Source organism: Homo sapiens, chromosome 7 (assembly GCF_000001405.40).
Source record: "Homo sapiens chromosome 7, GRCh38.p14 Primary Assembly".
Taxonomy (NCBI): Eukaryota; Metazoa; Chordata; class Mammalia; order Primates; family Hominidae; genus Homo; species Homo sapiens.
In genome coordinates this window covers 70,197,616-70,213,647 of record NC_000007.14, presented here as the reverse complement: position 1 = coordinate 70,213,647, position 16,032 = coordinate 70,197,616, and the positions used below count along the sequence as shown (strand labels likewise).

Below are 16,032 nucleotides of genomic sequence, written 5' to 3'. Positions count from 1 at the left end.
CCTAATTTAGGCAACAAAGAATTTCCTAAAGAAGACAAGATGATTTTCATACATTAGTACTGTTCAAAGTTGAAGTGCATTTAAAATAGTAACTTTTTTTTTTTTTTTTGAGACAGGGTCTTGCTGCTCTGTCACCTCGGCTGGAGTGCAGTGATAGGATCATAGCTTCCTGCAACTTCAAACTCCTCAAGTGATCCAGTGATCCATGATCCTCCTACCTCTATGCCCTCAGTAGTTGGGACTACAGGCATATGCTGCTGCACTTGGCTTTTTTTTTTTTTTTTTTAGAAAGGGGGTCTTGTATCGTTAACCAGGCTGGTCTCAAACTCCTGGCCTCAAGCAATCCTACTGCCTCAGACTCACAAAGTACTGGTATTACAGGCGTGGGTCACCACATCCAGCCTAAAATGGTAACTTTTTCTATCATTTCACATTAATCCAGTTATTCATTGTATGATATCTATTTCTTTTTTTAAAAAAATTCGTTGATATACAGTATTATTAATGGGGAGTACGTGATAATTTGATACATTTATATAATGTGGGAAGATCAAATCAGAGTAATTAGAATGCCTATCACCTGATATATTTATCTTTTCTTTATGTTAAGAACATTTGAATTGTTCTCTTTTGGCTACTGTGAAATGTACAACATACTATTGTTAAGTATAGTTCCCCCACCCCAACCACTGATCTATTAACACTGAGTCTTATTTCTTCTATCTGACTGTATGTATCTATGTATTTTTACACATGGATGTGTAAAGTGAAAAGTCCCAAGTTTGAGACATTTAGTTACACAATTAACATTAAGGAAAAAGAAAAAGGCAAAAGATACAAGATTACTGAATTACAAGAATAAAAATGACTCGATGATACTTTCTATTCAGTGTGCCTAAATGGACATTTTGCAACATGATGCAGTGTTTTAAGATTCAACATACATTTTTTTTTTTCCTGAAAGGGGTAAGAGAAGAGGGGAAGCAAATCAAATCAACACTCTTTTTAAAGTAATCCAGAGATTTTTTTTTAATGCCAAAATTGTGTTGCTTTGCCGACCAAAAAAGGAACTAAAATTTTTTGTAACACCAAACAAACTGTGGAGTTATCCAATTTTTTAGGAATTTAATTTGAGGAAACAGAAATAAATCCAAGTGCTCCACATGGCCATATGTTGTCTGAGCTAGGTAACGTAGAAGTATGCAAATCAATTCAGGAACGTGGTCCCAGTCTCCCTTCTAATGGAGCAAAGGATTCTGACAGAGGGATGAGTCCCAACTATGAGCTGGTGAAACTGCTAAGCAGATGCCGTGAGTTTAGACAGCCAGACAACTGATTTCTCTCCCTGTACTGCGGAAAAAGCGCAAGGCAGCAACTAGGGAAAACAACAGAAGAGTTCAGGCAGGTGAAAATGATGGCATTTTTGGTCTCTAAATTTGGCATCAATTTATTCCCTTTTGTTAACACTCAGCAGTGCTCAGATCCCACCACCACAAAACTAGCCTCAAATAAGGTCCTTCTATTTTCATGGAAGGGCTAGAAGTGTGCAAAGTTTGAAGCCTTTTTCTTTCCCCCACAGGTATGAGTAGTTACTGACACTCTATCATTCTAAAAAAGTCTACTCAATTTGTTCTCTGTATAATGCTGTCTCTCTCTCTCTTTGAGACGGAGTCTCGCTCTGTTGCCCAGGCTGGAGTGCAGTGGTGAGATCTCAGCTCGCTGCAAGCTCCGCCTCCCAGGCTCACTCCATTCTCCTGCCTCAGCCGCCCGAGTAGCTGGGACTACAGACGCCCGCCATCACGCCCCGCTAATTTTTTGTATTTTTAGTAGAGACGGGATTTCACCATGTTAGCCAGGATGGTCTCGATCTCCTGACCTCGTGATCCACCTGCCTCGGCCTCCCAAAGTGCTGAGATTACAGGCATGAGCCACCGCGCCTGGCCTGTATAATGCTCTCTTAATAAGAAAGTCTTTTTTCTTTTTTTCTTTTTTTTTCTTTGAGACAGAGTCTCGCTCTGTCACCCAGGCTGGAGTGCAGTGGCGCGATCTCGGCTCACTGCAACCTCCGCCTCCCAGGTTGACGCCATTCTCCTGCCTCAGCCTTCCGAGTAGCTGGGACTACAGGCGCCCACCACCACATCCGGCTAATTTTTTGTATTTTTAGTAGAGACGGGGTTTCACCATGTTAATCAGGATGGTCTTAATCTCCTGACCTCGTGATCCGCCCGCTTCTGCCTCCCAAAGTGCTGGGATTATAGGCGTGAACCACCGCGCCCGGCCAGAAAGTCTTTTTTCTTTTAAAAAAAAAAAAAAAAATTCTTTTAAATCAGGGAGGGAGGAGGAGTTACAGTAAGACAGAAAGAACAGTAAGAAGACAGAAAGAAAAAGGTTTAAAAGATACACTTTTGATATGTCTGTTTATAAGGGGAAATACATAGGATTTCCTTCCTTCAGCAATGCTAAAATGGTCTGGCATGCCTGAGAGTAAATCGATACTAAGCACGGTCCAGGCGAGACTGCCATCTCACATGAAGCACCGACTGTGAAATAGACACATAAGACACACGATACTCTCCGAGGCTCCCAGCAGCCATAATATTCATCCTTGGCAGTTCATTTGACATTGACTTTCTCTGCTTCCCAATAATGTTTTTCCTACCCTTCCTCCCAATGCCACCCTCCTTTCTCCATAGAGCAATGCTCTAGCTTCCCGAGGCTCACCAAGGAGGTAAAAGATAAGAAACCCCAAGAGACAGGTTTAGCTTGGGAATAAATCCTGTGTTTGCCATGCAACGATGCATACAATGGGAAAATATAAGGATGAGCTTATAAGAACACGAGCTTGGTTCTCAAGGAGCCCAACCAGAAGAGTCTTAAAATGTTACCACATGTGTGTAATGGACACTGGGTTTCCTGATTAGATCTTATCATGGTTATTTCAAATGGCTTCTTTCTTCTACCACTTGCTAACCTTCCCCTCTGCAGAGTGCATACACACACAAAAGAAAAAGACAAAGGACCCTTTCCACTCTGTCTTGGCCCCTTCCAGAAGTATTCTTAGAGCCATGAATCCACAGAGGCTTTTGAATTTAGATAACTTTTATGGTCAAAGCTAAAAACCTTTGCTGGTAATAGGAAATGTCATATGGAATCCACTGGGTAGTCATAATTTCCATTTATAAATAGAAAATATAAAGTGGGTGCCTTATCTGGGTGATTTAATACATGTCTCTGCTTATTACTGTTTTCAAAGTGCCTTTTGCACAAATCTGATTTCAACTGTGCAATAAAGATTCATTATCCTTTTACACAGCAGCCTTTGCATTTCTATGCAGGATCTAATTACGAAAATACGAACTATTCTATAAACAGATGCTAATCGTGAGGAGAAAATGCTTTCATTTTAGAAGGAAGGCATTGCTAAAACTTTACCCAGAAAAGTGCTGCATCTGCATGTAGAAGAAGGAGGTGGGGAAGTGAGAAGGGTTATTCTTGACAAAAGCTATGCAAGTACCCTGGGGAGAAAAGGTCCCCAGCAAATGACTATAAAATTGGGGTGAGAGACAGAATGCACACGGTTTAATTCCTATACCCCAATGTCATTTGTTGTTCCCAGAATTGAATCCATTTTTAAAAATCTTGTCCCTTATTTTCTTGTATTTTCTGTTTTCTTACAATAAGCCCCATTACTTTTATATCATGGTGGAGGGGGGGATTCCAACAAGCAGAACCAGGAAAAAAAATATATTCTTTTTGGAGAAAGAAGCTAAACATTAGTTTGGGGAAATAACTAACAAATGATACTAAAACAGACTGGAGAGACCAACTATAAGAAACACCTTGGGTGCTAGGTTAATTTTTTGTTTCATTAATCGGTTGTAGTAAAGGAGAAATATAAAGCCCCAATTAATATTATTTGTCCTGATCATATTCAACTTCACAGTACTGACACAGGTGGCCATACCAAGCATCCTTGTTTATGAAACACCTTTTTCTCTTTTGCCATGATCCATGCTTGTGTTACATCACTGGCTTCTCCTTCTTCATCTCCTTCACTGGGTCTTCTTCCTTATCAGGATATTATAAATGAGACTCTGTTCTCAGCCCCCTTCTTTATTTATATTCTCTTCCTAGGGAATCCAAACAGCCCCATAGCTTTCAATCCCATATGCTGATGGTTTTCACATTTATACCTCCACGCTGGACATTTTCCCAATCTCCTAGATTCTTTACCTGCCCAGATGACATCTTTTCTTAGCCGTCAATTGGCATTTCTTTCATAACATGTCAAAACAAAATTATTCCCTGCTTCACACCCTCACACCCTATAAATTCTTCCTCATACAACCTTTCCCTATGCCTACACATGATATCAGCCATCCAGCTGCTCAAGCTAAACTCCTGGAAGTCATCCTTGCTTCCTCTTTTTACTTTACATCCCATGTCCAATCCACCTACCTCCTGTCAAATCTCTATCCAAAATATGTCCGAATGCAACCACTTTACATTTCACTGCTACAATCCTAGTCTTAAACTACCACCATCTCTCTTGGCCCATGCAAGGTGATCTAGTTTCTACACTTGGGAGCATATTCTCCACACAACAGTCACAGTGTTTTTCCAGAGTAAAACTCAGTTTGCATCACTCTCCAGGTTAATCCACTGCAACTAGATTTAGAACTAAGTTCCGTATAACATACATTTTACCCACAGCCTTCAAAAGGCTCTGCATGACTCATCTTCCTTTATCTCTCCTCTCTTGCTTTGAACACCAAATTCCAGCCACACCGGCCTTTTTCCTGTCCCTTGAACACACCAAGATTGTTAGTGTATCAGGGACTTTGTACTTCTTCTTTCTTCTGCTTGGAACACTTGCATCTCCTCCCAACAACCTGCAAAAGGCCTCCCCTTAACTCACATCCTCACCACCCATCTCTATCACGTTAGCCTAGGTTATCTTCTCCATAGCCTCACAAGTATCTGAATTAATCATTTCCTTCTTTATGAGTTATCTATTTTCTTACCCTGGAATGTTACGTCTTTGACAGCAAGGCTTCTGTTCTTGTTCAGCACTATATTCACAGCAAAAAAGAACAATGCCTGGCTCAGAGTAGATGCTTAATATAAATTTTTTTTAACTGACCAACTTTTAGCTAACCCAAATTTGCCCACAACACACAAAGGATGACATGCAATTACTCTAAAAGTCCTTGGAATACTGCAACCCTAAAATGCTGAAATGTCATGAAAGCCTTAAAGACTATCCCATAATTTTCAGTTTATTTCCAGTTATTTAATAACATAGTGATGTCATGGGGTCATCAAAGGCATTTCCTAACTTGCTCCTTCAAGTTGCTAGTCACGCTGCATAGCAGAAATGTTAAAATGATTAAGTGAAGTAGTTTATTTTGAATACACCATGTGTGTGACTTTTTAAAGAAAGTTTGCCTTAAGCCAATTAATGATATTAATGACCACTCCTTAAATACCTTCTTACTTGTTTTGAAATTTCATGTTAGGATTTCTTAAGTCAAAGATGTGTAGAAAGCAGATACAATACATATGAAAATACACACACTCCTTTTTTCTATTATAAAGATAATTTTTTGTTGGTTTTTTTTTTTTTTTTTTTTTTTGAGATGGAGTTTCACTCTTGTTGCCCAGGCTGGAGTGCAATGGCGCAATCTCGACTCCCTACAACCTCTGCCTCCTGGGTTCAAGCGATTCTCCTGCCTCAGCCTCCCAAGTATCTGGGATTACAGGCATGCACCACCATGCCCGGCTAATTTTTTATATTTAGTAGAGATGGGGTTTCACCATGTTGGTCAGGCTGGTCTCAAACCCTTGAGCTCAGGTGATCCACCCTCCTCGGCCTCCCAAAGTGCTGGGAATACAGGCGTGAGCCACCATGCCCAGCCGGTAATGTAATAATAGATCATATATTCCAGGCAGCAGTGCTAAATACTTTACATGCATAATCTAACTGAATTCTCAAACATTCCTATAAGGTATGGACCACTCATATTTCCGTATTACATTCAGACAATTGAGGTTTATAAAGGCTAAGTATCACAAAGTTACACAACCAGTAAATGATGAAGCAAGAATTTGAATCCTCAATGGTCTGATTCTAAAGCCTGTATTCTTACTCCTGCATAATACTGTATCTCAAATGATTATAGTACATTATAAATTTCTTTTCTTCTAATTCTTCATACATTTTTTTCAAATCAAATCCTACCAAGATAACCAAGGAAAACAGTTTAGTGCAGATAACAGTTTATTCTTTCAAACAAGTCTAGGTTTGCTAAATGTCTATATATCCAAAGGATTCTGAATGGACAGTGTGAGAAGAGACTGGTAATTATTACTAGTACATAAAGTAGGGCCCACCCAATGTAAGCATAGAGATTTATGTGTGTCCAGGTCTGCTCTTAGGTCATTACCCTATAGAAAGTCCAAAGTAACCCTTGCTTCAACACACCTAAGTAAGATATCTGACTCCTGGTAAAATATTAGTGATGGAATGCAATGCAATAAACCTTATTTGAAGGACCTTAAAAGAACAAAGCCTTCACTAATGACATTTTAATGAGGAAATGCATATGCTAATTACTGTATTCTTCTAGCTAGTCTATAAAAAGCCTATGCCAAAGTAATGTAAGTATCTGCTGATTCAGACTTTACTGAAAAAGGTTTAGTTTTATATTTTCAATCATTGGGTAAAACAAAGGAAAAAAAAATAAGGAAAAAAATCCACCTTAAGTCCCAGATCTAGCTTGCTATCTGAGGAGGAGAAGATTAACAGGGAGCACTCAGAATACAACAAATGTTTTTCCAATGAGTATTTACCCAAGTCCCAGATCAATTGTTTAGCAGTACATAAATCTGATATAACCACTTGGCTAATGAAACATCAACACTACCTGATAGTACTACATTTTGAGGCAAGGAACAGTGTAGGCCCAGGGAACAGACAAGACTGCCAATACATGGCAGTTGTATCCTAAGTGTGTATTCACATATATGACCTCATTTCATCCTTGAGACATCCTTGTAGGTGGGTGGCAGGAAGGACACTGGCTAATAAACATTAGTGAAAGTTAAAAACATCCCAGGTTACTTAAGAGGCTGAAATTCCATAGATTTTGTGGAATTTTAAATCATTTTTTTCTCATTAGAATTTCATTTGTCCCCTTTCTCTCAACACTCAATTATCTATACTTATGGAAGGAAACAGATGTAACAATAAAGTAAAATGCTAGGAAAAAAAAACAAAAAACAGATAGAAAAGGTCTGTCTCTCCATGTCTCCACGTATCTCTAGTATCTCCTTCCATGCCTGCCCTGACCCTTTCCTGGTTTAACCTCATCACCATACATAGATACACAAGAAAGCCTCCACTTTCAAGCTGTAAAATGTTTTTAGGAACTCTTATTAGAAAGTGTTGATGAAAAAACAGACTTAACATGAGCTAGTGTGCATTAACGGAGGGGGACAGGGAATAACACAGGATAGAGGAGGGAAGAGAACAGTTCTAATGCCACTTAATTAGCCATATGTCCTACAACAAGTTATTTAACCTCACAGATCCCAGTTTTCTCCTCTGCAAATTAGGAACTTGAAACAGATGGCCTTTTATTCTGAATCTAATCCTCTATAATTCTGACTCTAGCATACATTCAGTTCAAGATAAGACTTATTCTTTAAGGGCTAGCTTAACTGCTACCTCCTCTAAGAAGTCTTCCCTGATAAAGCCACGGGAACCAAGTTTTCCCTCCTCTTAAAGCTTATGCTACCATGTTGGTACCACTCTGTAATGATCAAGAGCACTGGTCAAAGGCCTTAGTTTAAAACCTCACTACTTGTTAACTGTGTGACCTTAGGTCAATTACAGTCTCGCTTTGCTTAACAATGGGCATACGTTCTGAGAAATGTATTGTTAAGTGATCTCGTTGCTGTGCAAACTTCATAGAGTATACTTACAAAAACCTAGATTGTACAGTCTGCTATACACCTAGGCTCTATGGTATAGCCTATTGCTCCTAGGCTACAAACCTCTACAGCATGTTACTGTACTGAATAGCATAGTTGCCTATGTAGTACAGTACTGTAACATAATGGCAAGTATTTGTGTGTCTAAATACAGAAAAGTACTGTAAAAATATGTTATTATAATTTATTGGATCTCCACTATATATGTGGTCTGTTGTTGACTGACACGTTGTTATATGGTGCATGACTGCATTTGCCCTATCTGACCTCAGTTTCATAAGTTGTCAAACAGAGATAATAATAGATTGGTGGGACTATTAAAGGATTAAGTGATTGCAGCTACTCAGGAGACAGAGGCAGGAGGGTCACCTGAGGCTAAGAGTTCAAGACCAGCCTGGGCAATACAGTGAGATCCCATGTCTACAAAAAATAAAAAAATAAAAATTAGCCAGGCACAAATGGTGCATTCCTGAAGTCCCAGCTTCTTGGGAGGCTGAGGCAGGAAGATCCATTCACTCTGGGTTTGAGGTTGCAGTGGGCTATGATCATGCCACTGCACTCCAGCCTGGGTGACACAGCAAGACCCTGTTTTAAAAACCCAACCAAACCAAACAAAACAATGCAGATACTTCTTAGTATCTGCTGTGAATTCAGTGGTAAACCAAAGTGATGGACACAGTCACCAAACTCAAATAACCTTTTTTTTTCCCTATAGACCAAAATAAAATTTTAAAGTATTAGTCTTGCTCTCTGTAAGTTTAGAATACTTAAAATAATGAAACCCATAGATAGCAGAATATGGAAACAGAATTACTATGGTTTGGACGTGTGGATGTTTTATTCCCCTAGACCATGAGGATAATACTTAATCTCTAAGATCAGGAAAATTTCATATATCAGTTCAACATTTATTGGTTACCAGGTGCTTATGATAGGCCCTTGGGATACAATGATAAACAGAAGGTTCCTGCCTTTCAAGGGTATGCATTACAGTGGGGGAAAAACAATTAACTTACAGGAATTCTAAGGGAATTACAACCTTTAGACTTAAGATTTCCTTAACTAACTACAAATCTATCCTGCTGTATATACAGGGCCTCTTATTGAGCTATAGAGCACCCTGTTAATTCTGAGAAATCTCTATCTCCCATTCTCCCCACCCCCCGACAAAACATATTTTCTCTGTCTCTTTCAATCAAAGCTGAATAATGCAAAATGGATTACTATGTTAAAGGCTGACTCAATTAATTCATTTATTTCACAAATTTTAAAGAAAAATGACTTCTTTGGGAAGAAAGACCATGTTTCTACATCCCTGTACTTCTACTGTGAACATCTAGGCAAACTACCTGATATTAACAATGTGGGAACACAGCAGTGAGAACTCTGGTTAAAATACTGAATATATATTTCCCCTAAAGATATACAACAATGTATTTATATCCTTTTGAAAATATGAATGAGGCAACACATTCCTTGTTCAAATGGCAACAAATTCCTCTTAGATTATGGGGTCTGGGTACCACTATCTTACATCACTGGTATGAATTATTAGGAAAATAAAAACATAAAAGAGGGAAAATAACTGATGTTATTTTAAAATGTTGTGTATATGTGTGTGGACATACACGTATATACAAAAATGCTCAAACAACTAACATTTATACAGTGTCTTTTTTTTTTTTTTTTAAGGCTTAAAAATTTTTTTAATAGCCAATCATTCATTTATTTTCAAAACATAATTCTCGATCACGTGCACACTCCCTTCTTCTCTCTACAAATACATTAGTTCAGAAATAACTTAAATATTTCCTTGACATTCACAATCTAGTTTTTAGCACTGAAAATCAAAGGGATACAAATGAATTTTAAATTTTTATTTGGGGAGTTGTTATAAGACTAAGCTATATTCAAATATCAATCATTAAAACTAGTGAGGCCACTCACTATACCACCATACTTTTCATAAATCTCCTTTGATGAATAAATTCTACTTCCTTACAAAAGAAGACTCTGTTTAAAAAAGGTACCAACTTTTCTATATATCCCCCTACTTTATTCTGGAAATGTCTTTTGCTTCTTAAAGTAATTGTTAGATTTTTTAAGCCAGAAATCTGTTAGTCCTAATTATGAATTATTTTAATGTCAAATATGCATATGGTTAATCAATAGTTTTCTTTATCATAGATTCAAAATTTTAAGCTTATTTTCCTTCCATTCTTTAGGCATTCAACACGTTAATGAAAAGTACAATGTCAGTCTACTTCTCATTCTTTTATCCGTAAACTTCTTTTTTTTTTTTTTTTTTATTATACTCTAAGTTTTAGGGTACATGTGCACATTGTGCAGGTTAGTTACATATGTATACATGTGCCATGCTGGTGCGCTGCACCCACTAATGTGTCATCTAGCATTAGGTATATCTCCCAATGCTATCCCTCCCCCCTCCCCCGACCCCACCACAGTCCCCAGAGTGTGATATTCCCCTTCCTGTGTCCATGTGATCTCATTGTTCAATTCCCACCTATGAGTGAGAATATGCGGTGTTTGGTTTTTTGTTCTTGCGATAGTTTACTGAGAGATGGTTTCCAATTTCATCCATGTCCCTACAAAGGATATGAACTCATCATTTTTTATGGCTGCATAGTATTCCATGGTGTATATGTGCCACATTTTCTTAATCCAGTCTATCATTGTTGGACATTTGGGTTGGTTCCAAGTCTTTGCTATTGTGAATAGTGCCGCAATAAACATATGTGTGCATGTGTCTTTATAGCAGCATGATTTATACTCATTTGGGTATATACCCAGTAATGGGATGGCTGGGTCAAATGGTATTTCTAGTTCTAGATCCCTGAGGAATCGCCACACTGACTTCCACAATGGTTGAACTAGTTTACAGTCCCACCAACAGTGTAAAAGTGTTCCTATTTCTCCGCATCCTCTCCAGCACCTGTTGTTTCCTGACTTTTTAATGATTGCCATTCTAACTGGTGTGAGATGATATCTCATAGTGGTTTTGATTTGCATTTCTCTGATGGCCAGTGATGATGAGCATTTCTTCATGTGTTTTTTGGCTGCATAAATGTCTTCTTTTGAGAAGTGTCTGTTCATGTCCTTCGCCCACTTTTTGATGGGGTTGTTTGTTTTTTTCTTGTAAATTTGTTTGAGTTCATTGTAGATTCTGGATATTAGCCCTTTGTCAGATGAGTAGGTTGCGAAAATTTTCTCCCATGTTGTAGGTTGCCTGTTCACTCTGATGGTAGTTTCTTTTGCTGTGCAGAAGCTCTTTAGTTTAATTAGATCCCATTTGTCAATTTTGTCTTTTGTTGCCATTGCTTTTGGTGTTTTGGACATGAAGTCCTTGCCCACGCCTATGTCCTGAATGGTAATGCCTAGGTTTTCTTCTAGGGTTTTTATGGTTTTAGGTTTAACGTTTAAATCTTTAATCCATCTTGAATTGATTTTTGTATAAGGTGTAAGGAAGGGATCCAGTTTCAGCTTTCTACATATGGCTAGCCAGTTTTCCCAGCACCATTTATTAAATAGGGAATCCTTTCCCCATTGCTTGTTTTTCTCAGGTTTGTCAAAGATCAGATAGTTGTAGATATGCGGCATTATTTCTGAGGGCTCTGTTCTGTTCCATTGATCTATGTCTCTGTTTTGGTACCAGTACCATGCTGTTTTGGTTACTGTAGCCTTGTAGTATAGTTTGAAGTCAGGTAGTGTGATGCCTCCAGCTTTGTTCTTTTGGCTTAGGATTGACTTGGCAATGCGGGCTCTTTTTTGGTTCCATATGAACTTTAAAGTAGTTTTTTCCAATTCTGTGAAGAAAGTCATTGGTAGCTTGATGGGGATGGCATTGAATCTGTAAATTACCTTGGGCAGTATGGCCATTTTCACGATATTGATTCTTCCTACCCATGAGCATGGAATGTTCTTCCATTTGTTTGTGTCCTCTTTTATTTCCTTGAGCAGTGGTTTGTAGTTCTCCTTGAAGAGGTCCTTCACATCCCTTGTAAGTTGGATTCCTAGGTATTTTATTCTCTTTGAAGCAATTGTGAATGGGAGTTCACCCATGATTTGGCTCTCTGTTTGTCTGTTGTTGGTGTATAAGAATGCTTGTGATTTTTGTACATTGATTTTGTATCCTGAGACTTTGCTGAAGTTGCTTATCAGCTTAAGGAGATTTTGGGCTGAGACGATGGGGTTTTCTAGATAAACAATCATGTCGTCTGCAAACAGGGACAATTTGACTTCCTCTTTTCCTAATTGAATACCCTTTATTTCCTTCTCCTGCCTGATTGCCCTGGCCAGAACTTCCAACACTATGTTGAATAGGAGCGGTGAGAGAGGGCATCCCTGTCTTGTGCCAGTTTTCAAAGGGAATGCTTCCAGTTTTTGCCCATTCAGTATGATATTGGCTGTGGGTTTGTCATAGATAGCTCTTATTATTTTGAAATACATCCCATCAATACCTAATTTATTGAGAGTTTTTAGCATGAAGGGTTGTTGAATTTTGTCAAAGGCTTTTTCTGCATCTATTGAGATAATCATGTGGTTTTTGTCTTTGGCTCTGTTTATATGCTGGATTACATTTATTGATTTGCGTATATTGAACCAGCCTTGCATCCCAGGGATGAAGCCCACTTGATCATGGTGGATAAGCTTTTTGATGTGCTGCTGGATTCGGTTTGCCAGTATTTTATTGAGGATTTTTGCATCAATGTTCATCAAGGATATTGGTCTAAAATTCTCTTTTTTGGTTGTGTCTCTGCCCGGCTTTGGTATCAGAATGATGCTGGCCTCATAAAATGAGTTAGGGAGGATTCCCTCTTTTTCTATTGATTGGAATAGTTTCAGAAGGAATGGTACCAGTTCCTCCTTGTACCTCTGGTAGAATTCGGCTGTGAATCCATCTGGTCCTGGACTCTTTTTGGTTGGTAAACTATTGATTATTGCCACAATTTCAGAGCCTGTTATTGGTCTATTCAGAGATTCAACTTCTTCCTGGTTTAGTCTTGGGAGAGTGTATGTGTCGAGGAATGTATCCATTTCTTCTAGATTTTCTAGTTTATTTGCGTAGAGGTGTTTGTAGTATTCTCTGATGGTAGTTTGTATTTCTGTGGGATCGGTGGTGATATCCCCTTTATCATTTTTTATTGTGTCTATTTGATTCTTCTCTCTTTTTTTCTTTATTAGTCTTGCTAGCGGTCTATCAATTTTGTTGATCCTTTCAAAAAACCAGCTCCTGGATTCATTGAGTTTTTGAAGGGTTTTTTGTGTCTCTATTTCCTTCAGTTCTGCTCTGATTTTAGTTATTTCTTGCCTTCTGCTAGCTTTTGAATGTGTTTGCTCTTGCTTTTCTAGTTCTTTTAATTGTGATGTTAGGGTGTCAATTTTGGATCTTTCCTGCTTTCTCTTGTAGGCATTTAGTGCTATAAATTTCCCTCTACACACTGCTTTGAATGCATCCCAGAGATTCTGGTATGTGGTGTCTTTGTTCTCGTTGGTTTCAAAGAATATCTTTATTTCTGCCTTCATTTCGTTATGTACCCAGTAGTCATTCAGGAGCAGGTTGTTCAGTTTCCATGTAGTTGAGCGGCTTTGAGTGAGATTCTTAATCCTGAGTTCTAGTTTGATTGCACTGTGGTCTGAGAGATAGTTTGTTATAATTTCTGTTCTTTTACATTTGCTGAGGAGAGCTTTACTTCCAAGTATGTGGTCAATTTTGGAATAGGTGTGGTGTGGTGCTGAAAAAAATGTATATTCTGTTGATTTGGGGTGGAGAGTTCTGTAGATGTCTATTAGGTCTGCTTGGTGCAGAGCTGAGTTCAATTCCTGGGTATCCTTGTTGACTTTCTGTCTCGTTGATCTGTCTAATGTTGACAGTGGGGTGTTAAAGTCTCCCATTATTAATGTGTGGGAGTCTAAGTCTCTTTGTAGGTCACTGAGGACTTGCTTTATGAATCTGGGTGCTCCTGTATTGGGTGCATAAATATTTAGGATAGTTAGCTCCTCTTGTTGAATTGATCCCTTTACCATTATGTAATGGCCTTCTTTGTCTCTTTTGATCTTTGTTGGTTTAAAGTCTGTTTTATCAGAGACTAGGATTGCAACCCCTGCCTTTTTTTGTTTTCCATTGGCTTGGTAGATCTTCCTCCATCCTTTTATTTTGAGCCTATGTGTGTCTCTGCACGTGAGATGGGTTTCCTGAATACAGCACACTGATGGGTCTTGACTCTTTATCCAACTTGCCAGTCTGTGTCTTTTAATTGCAGAATTTAGTCCATTTATATTTAAAGTTAATATTGTTATGTGTGAATTTGATCCTGTCATTATGATGTTAGCTGGTGATTTTGCTCATTAGTTGATGCAGTTTCTTCCTAGTCTCGATGGTCTTTACATTTTGGCATGATTTTGCAGCGGCTGGTACCGGTTGTTCCTTTCCATGTTTAGCGCTTCCTTCAGGAGCTCTTTTAGGGCAGGCCTGGTGGTGACAAAATCTCTCAGCATTTGCTTGTCTATAAAGTATTTTATTTCTCCTTCACTTATGAAGCTTAGTTTGGCTGGATATGAAATTCTGGGTTGAAAATTCTTTTCTTTAAGAATGTTGAATATTGGCCCCCACTCTCTTCTGGCTTGTAGGGTTTCTGCCGAGAGATCCGCTGTTAGTCTGATGGGCTTTCCTTTGAGGGTAACCCGACCTTTCTCTCTGGTTGCCCTTAACATTTTTTCCTTCATTTCAACTTTGGTGAATCTGACAATTATGTGTCTTGGAGTTGCTCTTCTCGAGGAGTATCTTTGTGGTGTTCTCTGTATTTCCTGAATCTGAACGTTGGCCTGCCTTGCTAGATTGGGGAAGTTCTCCTGGATAATATCCTGCAGAGTGTTTTCCAACTTGGTTCCATTCTCCACATCACTTTCAGGTACACCAATCAGACGTAGATTTGGTCTTTTCACATAGTCCCATATTTCTTGGAGGCTTTGCTCATTTCTTTTTATTCTTTTTTCTCTAAACTTCCCTTCTCGCTTCATTTCATTCATTTCATCTTCCATTGCTGATACCCTTTCTTCCAGTTGATCGCATCGGCTCCTGAGGCTTCTGCATTCTTCACTTAGTTCTCGAGCCTTGGTTTTCAGCTCCATCAGCTCCTTTAAGCACTTCTCTGTATTGGTTATTCTAGTTATACATTCTTCTAAATTTTTTTCAAAGTTTTCAACTTCTTTGCCTTTGGTTTGAATGTTATCCCGTAGCTCAGAGTAATTTGATCGTCTGAAGCCTTCTTCTCTCAGCTTGTCAAAATCATTCTCCATCCAGCTTTGTTCTGTTGCTGGTGAGGAACTGCGTTCCTTTGGAGGAGGAGAGGCGCTCTGCGTTTTAGAGTTTCCAGTTTTTCTGTTCTGTTTTTTCCCCATCTTTGTGGTTTTATCTATTTTGGTCTTTGATGATGGTGATGTACAGATGGGTTTTCGGTGTAGATGTCCTTTCTGGTTGTTAGTTTTCCTTCTAACAGACAGGACCCTCAGCTGCAGGTCTGTTGGAATACCCTGCCGTGTGAGGTGTCAGTGTGCCCCTGCTGGGGGGTGCCTCCCAGTTAGGCTGCTCGGGGGTCAGGGGTCAGGGACCCACTTGAGGAGGCAGTCTGCCCGTTCTCAGATCTCCAGCTGCGTGCTGGGAGAACCACTGCTCTCTTCAAAGCTGTCAGACAGGGACACTTAAGTCTGCAGAGGTTACTGCTGTCTTTTTGTTTGTCTGTGCCCTGCCCCCAGAGGTGGAGCCTACAGAGGCAGGCAGGCCTCCTTGAGCTGTGGTGGGCTCCACCCAGTTCGAGCTTCCCGGCTGCTTTGTTTACCTAAGCAAGCCTGGGCAATGGCGGGCGCCCCTCCCCCAGCCTCGTTGCCGCCTTGCAGTTTGATCTCAGACTGCTGTGCTAGCAATCAGCGAGATTCCGTGGGCGTAGGACCCTCTGAGCCAGGTGTGGGATATAGTCTCGTGGTGCGCCGTTTCTTAAGCCGGTCTGAAAAGCGCAATAT

The 16,032-nt window shown here is 39.3% G+C and overlaps 1 protein-coding gene across 26 annotated transcripts in view, besides 1 other annotated feature; it reads right to left on the bottom strand.

The window, feature by feature from the left end:
- The window catches only part of AUTS2 (activator of transcription and developmental regulator AUTS2), a 1,195,032-nt gene that overhangs the window by 579,859 nt on the left and 599,141 nt on the right, over positions 1 to 16,032 (bottom strand). The window lies entirely within an intron of this gene.
- Positions 2,759 to 3,518: an enhancer, noted in NCBI's record as "heart enhancer 21". NCBI's record gives its function as "activates a minimal c-fos promoter by transgenic reporter assays in zebrafish embryonic heart {active_cell/tissue: heart(embryonic)}" and the evidence as "EXISTENCE:transgenic organism evidence [ECO:0001131][PMID:20075146]".